The sequence below is a fragment of the Homo sapiens genome, chromosome 14, assembly GCF_000001405.40.
Source record: "Homo sapiens chromosome 14, GRCh38.p14 Primary Assembly".
In the NCBI taxonomy this organism is placed as follows: Eukaryota; Metazoa; Chordata; class Mammalia; order Primates; family Hominidae; genus Homo; species Homo sapiens.
Window position 1 is genome coordinate 37893972 of NC_000014.9, and position 8738 is coordinate 37902709.

The 8738-nt window shown below is 38.5% G+C and overlaps 1 long non-coding RNA gene across 1 annotated transcript, besides 1 other annotated feature; it reads right to left on the reverse strand.

Moving 5' to 3' along the window:
- Positions 237–1067: an enhancer, noted in NCBI's record as "OCT4-NANOG hESC enhancer chr14:38363413-38364243 (GRCh37/hg19 assembly coordinates)". NCBI's record gives its function as "activates a minimal SCP1, AML or CMV promoter by ChIP-STARR-seq in naive H9 embryonic stem cells {active_cell/tissue: H9 hESC(naive)}" and the evidence as "EXISTENCE:reporter gene assay evidence [ECO:0000049][PMID:30033119]".
- Positions 2089–8153, reverse strand: LINC00517 (long intergenic non-protein coding RNA 517). The gene is made up of 2 exons (NR_135286.1): positions 8045–8153; positions 2089–5439 (listed from the first exon to the last, which is right to left on the reverse strand). It is a non-coding gene; the product is annotated as a long intergenic non-protein coding RNA 517 (long non-coding RNA).
- Positions 8154–8738: the final 585 nt, after the last annotated feature.

The following is an 8738-nucleotide window of genomic DNA, read 5'->3' on the forward strand; positions in this document are numbered from 1 at the left end:
TGCACACTCAACCCTGGTTGTCTCTGGGATTAAGTTTGCACAGGTAGTGGTAGGAAGGAGAGAGATAATGTACTTTGTGGGTAATTTCTTTTTTAAAGAAAGTAAAATAAGATACTGAAAAGGCACAGTAACATTTGGAAAATATTACAAAAATAGAATATGATGACGATAAAACATATTAAAACTTTTTTTAAAAAAACAAGGATTTGGAGGCCATGACCTTAAATAAAAAATATCAGCAGGCTTAAAAACAAGAGAGAGAATCAAGTAAATGGTGGCTTGTTACGGTGGAGGAAGGCACAGTTGGGAGCCACAATTTACATTGCAGTACCCCCGACCCTTGTGTGATGAGACCTTGGACCGCTTAACCATTCCGTGCTGTTTGCCTCACCTGTAAAATGGAGACAATTACTTCTGGGAGCAGTTGTGTGTAATAGATGAGTTGATTCATATGCAATGCAGTACATTGCTTGGCACATAGTTAACAGCTTACTAAATGTTAGCTGTTAAAAGCATTCTCAGTTCCACTAAGTGAGGGGCTCCAATGGCTCCACACAAGAAAAGCAGCCCACCTGCAGAAGGTGGGACCTCTTGACCTTTTCTTTAGCATCTCAACACTTCACAGATATCTGTCATGGTTGAAAAATGTATGTTGGGTAATTAGAGTACAAACTGACTGACTGGTGTGTGGTATAGAAGTCAGGGAACAAGTGTGGGACACAATGAAGCTCAGGTCCTGACTCAGCTACTTAATTGCTGTCACCTTTGTTAGTTAAAAAATAAATGGCTCTCCCGACTCCTGCTAGGGTGCTATTTGCACTTATGGAGAGAGGAAAAACAACAGTCAGACCCCCTTTGCTTTGCTGACATTTATTTGCCTTAAGCTGTGCAACTGATCCTCAGGAAGTCAAGGGGTTTAGTTGTTTTCCTGGATTTCTAGGAAAAGTAAGTTTGCACATCTCAAACTGAGTAATCAACTTTAAAACAAATGACTAGATATGTATTAGTTGCCACAAAGCAACTTTCAAATTCTGCCCATTGTACAACTTCCATTGTACCTGGCGAAGTGGGTGACACATTTAATTTTGCTGAGGACAAATGTTAAGGGACGCTACCTGAACTACCATTGAGGGAAAAGGAACGCAGAATTTCCTGGTATTCCACTGGATACCCCTTTTTCTTGCTGCTTCCTTAATACAGCCTCTCCCTTTTCCTTCCACAATGGTGTTGCCAAGTAAGCCAAAGTATGGAATGAGTTGTCCCAGGGCAGGTGATCATGCCAGGGTCACCGTGCATTAATAGCTTTGGGACAAAGCCAGGTATGTTCACAGGAAACCTAGGCAACCACTCTAAGTCCTGACCTACCAAAATTTTCTCATGGATTATGTAAATGATCATATACCACTTGTCAAGCCAGACTCGGCAGGGTTTCTCTTGCCCTTTAAACTTTCTCTTCATTTCTGTCTTCTTTCTGTTCATTTTTCCTCTCTCCTTTTTATTTAATTATTGCTTTCATTCTCTATGTCCTGTTCTGTGCATTTCCTATATTATTTCCCATCTTGTTTGCTATATAACACACTCACTAACATTGCGTTCATAATTTTCCGTTTATTTTCATATCACACATGTGTTCAAAATAGACATTGTCTCAGATGAAAAAAGTTGTCATATACCAAGCTAGAGCAGGCTTAGCTAGACTGCCATTTCTCCATGAAATCTTATTGACCATTCTTTTTAAACGCTTCATAGCTTTTTTGAGAAATAACCATCTTTGGGGAATGAACTGTAATTTATTGGGAGACGTTAGCTTTAGTAAATACTTAAGTACTCTCATGATAAAGGGACCAAGCAACATTTGTCTCTGTTCCTGCATGTTTAAGAATTTAAGCATAAAAGCCGTAGCAATGTTCCTGGTGGATTGTTGCCCCAAAGTTAATATGCTTCTGAAGATTCAGGACAGTTTCTGTGGAGTATATTGCCTAATAACTGTTGTGACCGGTGCTTATATATTTTGTTCTTGGCTCTTAAACTTGTGCTTGGGGTGTAGTGTTCAGTTTATTGAAGAAGGAACAAAAAAGCAGTGGCTTTATGAAACTCATTTATTCACTTTATCAGGATTGCTTCATTGTTTGTCAACTCAAAATATTAGTGGGGATTTAGGGAAATAATCTTGCTCTCTAATTAGATGAAATGGGAGGCTTATTGCTGCAGCCATAAATGATCTTTTAGGTGTTACTAATTCAACTAAATCTCAGATGTCCAATTTGTGCAGCCTGTTGATGATATTATTCAGTGAAAAATGGTTGGGGAGATTGGGAATGATTAAGAAAATTAGTCTTGCTCACAACTTAATGATAACACTTGAGGATAATGTAAAAACAATAGCAACTTTGAAAGTCAAGATGGGTCATCCAGCAATGAACTATTACCCAACTCAGTCGCCAAGATTTGGATCATTAAGTGCTCAGCTACATAAGGAAGAAATGAATTACTAATTTGTGTTGTTAAGGCTAATGTTCTTGTTTAGTGTTTAGACTGACCTATAAGTTCCTGCGCTGTCCTGAATGAAGCCTTGCAGGATGGAAATATGGCAAGGTTGCCAGCTGGGCTATACTCACAGGGGTCCCAGATTATCTCTGTCCGGGAAGCAGTGGTGGGAAACGGGTAAAAATATTCTCCACATGGGGTCTCCACTTCTCTGGCATCAATAATCCAAGCTACAAGTTCTTGCTATTCTTTATCTTTGTCCTTACTGTGCCTAAATTTATCTTTATCCATTCTCAGCCTTTTTTCAAGGAAAAGAAGTATTGTGAGGGCAATGAGGATCCACGTCTTTACATCCATTTCTTTGCTTTGCATAAAGTCCTCAGTATTTATTTTCCTTTAGGGATGCTGGCTTTCTTAGGTAGGGGATCTATTATAATAATTGATTTCAAGTCCACTAGGCTGAGATGGCTCCAGTGCCTTTGTAAGCAAACCAAAACCTAACTCAACCTAAATACTAAAATAAAACTTTAGTTTAACCAATCAGAAATTGCTAACCAACCTGTAACTAGAGATTTTCAGCCTAAATCAATCAGATATTTTCTTTGTCTTGCTTCCACAAACACCTTATACAAGTTTTCCCCTTGCACCCTCTCAGTGGAGTGCTGAACCACTTGTAGTCTGAGACTGCTGGGTTCATGAATTGCTGAATGCTCAAATAAACTTGTTAAAATTTTAATGTGCCTAAGTTTATCTATTAACAGGTCATTCTTATCAGGGGATTGAAAAGGAACTGAAAAATACAAAAGTGATGTACTTTTATAGAAGATAATGAAGATCAGAAATCTTAAGGCTGCCATACAGATCAGAGGTTTCACACGTTCCTTTGATTAGGCAAACTCACTCAAGGCAATTAACAAAAGAGTTCAGGCTAACACTTTGGGGTCCATTTAATCAGAGACTAGCCTAATGGGTCAATTCTGAGGCTCTACTAAGGCTCTAAGAGCCAAAGCAGCCTTTGGCTTTCTAATAGTGAAAAGGACAAAGTTTTAAAGCAGACATGTGTCTGCTAATAACCAGGGCTCAATCCTTAAAATTAATTCTGAAGCCTCCAGTTTTATACTTGGCAACTCCAAAATACTGAATTATTATTAAGCTATTATGATACTTTATGTATGCTTATTATTTTAGTGTCCATCAAAAGAAATATTTCATGTAGTGGCTTTAATAAAATTTATTTTCTTAATAAAAACATTGGCCATATCATGTGCTGGATAGTAGAGAAACTTCACCTACATTTTGAAGAAGATCGATCATGGATAATTAAACTTAAGCAAAAAGGGCCGCTTAGTTTTAACTGGCCAAATAGTGGCATCGAATCTCAGAGAGGACCAAAACAGGGTTTAAGAAGGCAGGTCTTATAGATTGAATCTTATTCAAATGACCTAAATGTCAAAAGTAGTATGATTATAAACCTACGAAAAAGTGAGAAAAATCCATTTCTAGGTTATATTGTTAAGTTAAAAAAAGAAAGGTACAACAAGTATATATAATATGCTACATTTTGTGTATGGCCAGCACAGAAAATGAGAATATATATTTGATTTGCATGTATTTGCATAAAGAAACCTTGGAAGGATAAACAATAAACTAATAAAAGTGGAGGAATGAAGTGGATGGAGACTTGGGTGGTAGCATGACTTCCCCGAGTATACCTTTACATTGCTTTGAGTTTGAAACAAGTAAATGTATTACTTACTCAAGAACAAAAATGAAAAGACAAAAACATGATGAGATATTTTGTTGGAAAAGTTAAACCTAGAGGGAATATTTGCAGAAGATGTAAAGTGTGACATTTCAACATAAGTACAACATTGTGATGTAGCAGAAAGGTCAATAAGCTGAGAGAGAGGAGACATGGGCCCAGTTTTACCACAAACTACTTTAGCATCATTTAACACTGGATTGACAAATGGGTTTAATGTTTGATGTCATTTATGTTTATGATTAAATATGAAAAGTCTGCCTGAAGCGTTCTGTCCAGAAGGATTTTAAGGCCACACCTGTGTGCAGTAGAAAAGATTGCTTTAATTGATTAGTGATCTCTGCTGTGGGTAGAGGATAGGAGAGTGATGGTGTGCATGCATTCTATTTGTCCTTGTGATTTTTTTTAGTCATGTACAAGATTAGGGGCTTAGAACAGATTATCTTTAAGTCTCATAGTTTAAAAATGTTAATAATAAACAGAATATGTTCCAAAAAGATAAAGCAAAGAAGGAGGGGAGGGTATGGTCAATTGTGGTCCTGTAGCTTCAGACAAGTTCCACCTCTTGGTGGGTGAACAGGCTGGAATGGTCTAGCATTGAGTATTCCTTAGTCATTCTGTTGGAAGGTGTTCAGGGCAAGGATGCAACACTTTCTCAGGGAATGTGCTGGAGACAATTTTTGGAGTACAGAAAACTTGATAGCTTCCATTCCCACTTCAGTTTCTGGAACATTATAACAACTAAAGAGTCTGCTACAGGAAACTTGGAAGAGCCTCCAAGGCGGCCAGTTGTCTGTGGTGTTGGGGAAGAGCTGAGTGACTGATGGAAATGGAGACGGCTCATCTCTCCTGAAAGCCTAGTGGAAGGACAGATTTTTGTGGCTTCTTCAGAGCCTAGGCAGGAGAAGTCTGTGGGTCTTCTTGAAAAAGAATTGCCCTGTCCATGTGGCATTTGTGCTTCCTGATGAACTGCTTGATCATACTTTCCCTGAAATTTGAGAGCCATGGTTCTAGTCTAAGGCCAGGTGACTGTGCAAGAAGCCAGTTTGCAAGAGGAAGGGGGCTGGCTTTCCATCATCTGAGCAGGACATCATGTAGAGATCCCCTAAGGCATGAAGGGGATTGCTAGTGTTGTAAGGACCTTCAGAGTCTTGGAGATGAGACAATTCAAAGCTCCTGATGCCATAAGTCTGCAGAGAGATAAAAGACATGTAGAGAGCTGACCAGAGCCCATCTGGGATGGCAGTTCCCTTTTCCTCTTAGCTGCTTGGAACCTCTTGTGCCCTGGAGCTCCCGGCAAAGCAGGCTGCACTCTGCCATGTCAGCCCCAGACTCCCAGCCTCTGCTTACCAGATGGGGCCCTTCCCATATGGTGTCCCAGCCAGACAAAAGCTTCTAGGCTGTCCTGTCCAATACAGTAGTCCCTGGCCAGCTGTGGCCATTTAAATTAAAATCAATTAAGATAAAATAAAAATTCCAGTTCCTCAGTTGCACTAGCCACATTTCAAGTGCCCGGTAGCCATTCGTGGCAAGTGGCTATCGAATTGGATTGCACAGGTCTAGCTCATTCCCACCATCACAGAATGTTCTGTTGGACAGTGCTGCTCTAGAATGTGTATGTAGAAGTCACCACAGACAGATGGATTCACCAGTGAAAAGCTTCCAGCAGGGAAAACACAGGTAAGAGCCCCTGGGATTTATCTTTTACCAAAGCTCCCCAGGTGGTGACAATCTTTCCAGTCTCACTCTAACCCTCAAAGGAGGAAAACCAGAGTTTCCTTCCAGCCTCCAGCAATGCCTTCTAGGTCACTATTATTTGAAGTCCGATCTGTGGACCAATAGTGGTCTGTGAACTGTTTGTATTGAGGTTGAGAGTAGGCATTTAGAAACTTACAGAATTTTTTTTTGTCATTGCCATGACATCCAAGCATGTGGTCAGGTGACTTGTCTCCCTGAAGAGTATCTAGACCAATTCAGGGTTTGGAATTCGGCAGGCACAGTAGAACCAAGTTATTTACAGCAGGTGATATTTTAAAATTAATTGGTAAACTCAAATCTAAAAGTGTATAAAATCCAAAATCCACTGCTTTCATTAAAATAACACAAATTTAACTACAACTTTACAGGATAAATTGTTGTGAGTTGCTACTGATAAGGATAAAAGAATAAGGATTCTTTTATTGAATAAGGACAAAAGATTAACAAGGATAGAAGTTAAGTTTTGCAAATGTAGTGTCACTTGCTTCATTTTAGATAAAAGTTGACAATGAATATTCTGATCTTGCTCAGATGCCTTTAAAATATCTTATTCTGTCCTTGCCAACATACCTCTGGTTAAGACTTGTTTCTCTACTATCAGTTTTATTAAAAGAAAACATAGAAACTAGATACCTGTCATGCCCTGTAAGCAGTATTGTTGCCAATTCAATTTGATTTAGATAAGTTAATAAGCAAGAAACAAGTTCCTTTGTAACATTAGAAACCTTAAATGTTGATATGTATAGTGTTTGTACAAAGTATCTACACAGTACTTACCACAGAGACCATTATTTCTTTCATAACTTTTTGTTTTCATTGCACAATGAGTAAAAGCGGCTAGTATAATAAGCATTTTCTATATTAATCTGTAAACATACTTTCAATGAATCATTCATATGGTTTTGGGATTCTTTTATTTTATCCCATGCTGTTTGTTTTGATTGTATGTATTAAAATTTATTTCTATGTGTATTGAATCTAATAACAAAAGATTGGGGCTTATATTTCATATGTTTTTACTTTTGTATTTCTTTTTTTCTAGTAATTCATTTATATAATGTTTTACCAAAAATGTCTGCAAAAGATTAAATTAAAAAAATAGTCATTCAACCACAGATGATTTGAACAGCATGTCTACACTGGACCAGGTTGCTTTGCTGTTCTTTCCTGGGAGCAGCTCGCAGGAGATGCCTGGAAGCGGGCTGGCTGTGTCCTCAGGGCTGAGTTTGCAGACTGCCGGTTTAAAATGGAGATCTGCTGAGCCATTGTGGAAGAAAGTTCTCAGGACAATTCCTAGTTCAGCAAAACTGTGGGCTTAGAAGGGAGCATGGCAGGGAAGGGAGTGATAAAGCAAAATATTCAGGTGGCAGGGCATAATTATATTATTTTAATTTAGACACATTAATAGAGCAATACAGATCCAATTATCAGCAAGATTAATAAACACAGCTTAAGTTTCCAATTAGTGGAGGTAGAGATGGAGGTGGAGGGGTGATGAAGGCAAGGGAATGAAAAAAATGTGACCAAGTCAGCCAACGTAAGAAAATAGAAAAGAGGAAATAACAATAAAGAATAAGGAATAGTAAACCTAAAATCAGATGAAATGGCAAGGCATGTGCATCTCTTTTCATGTAAGATATGAATGGTCTAAAATCATCAATCAAATAACAGAAAACTTCAGATTGAGTTCAGAAAATATTACACTATCTGTTGCTTATAGATATTTCACACACCACAAAGTGGCCAAGAAAGTTTGAAAAGTTCTTGTAGATGTGTGACAGTCATGCAGTATGCACTTCATATAGCTGTTTATTATTTAATTTTATGAGGGATGTTGACCAGCTGTGGTTTTAGAGAATTAAACTGGGCTTGGATTCATGCTAAAGGAAATAAACAAACTTATGGAGAAAAAGACATCACTATCTTTTCATGATTCTCACTGGGAACATTGTTCTGCTAGAAGTGGAGAAAACAGGAGAGACAGAAGGAGAATCAGTCTCTTTAGGATATGTCTTGCCAAGAGGGCATGTTTCCTACCAGTTGGATGGAACCCTGTGGTGGTGGCGGTGGCTAGGCAGCTTCCTGGGAGCACTTCTTCCTGCCGTTCTCCTTACAACCCACCAGGAGCCTGTCCTGGCGGGCGCTTTAGAAGGCAGGACTGCCTTGGGATGCATTGGGTTTTTCCACCCACACTAGTTCCCGCCCTTTGGGGACAGGAAAAGGCAGTTGGGATCCAAATAGACTGATTACTCTCTTTTATGGAATTCCTCCAGATACAACAGTAATTCAGTTCACATTGCTCATCAACGTGCAGGCCACATGTCTCTGGATGGTCCCTGTATATTTGAACATTCTTCACTTGCTCTGATGTTTTCCCCAGCTTCCAGATGTTCTTGGGAGATTACAAAACAGACAAGAATAGAAATTGAAAATTTTGAAAGCATATTTTAGTCTCTATATAATATAAATTTAGCGTAAGTCAAGCTAAGAGATTAAACCTGATGTGCATAAGAGTATTTTCTTTGGATGCAAATGTAGAGGAAAAACACACATTTGATGTTGGAAACTAAGTATGCTTATTTTCTGTTGGCCTTTGCCTTGAACCTAGTTCTGTAATGGGCACATAGCAGATATTCAATACATCGTGTTAAATTAATGTCATTTAGCAAAGTGAATTTTATCCACAAACTTTTGTCATAATAAAAACATGATTCGGAGTTGTTATGTGGTC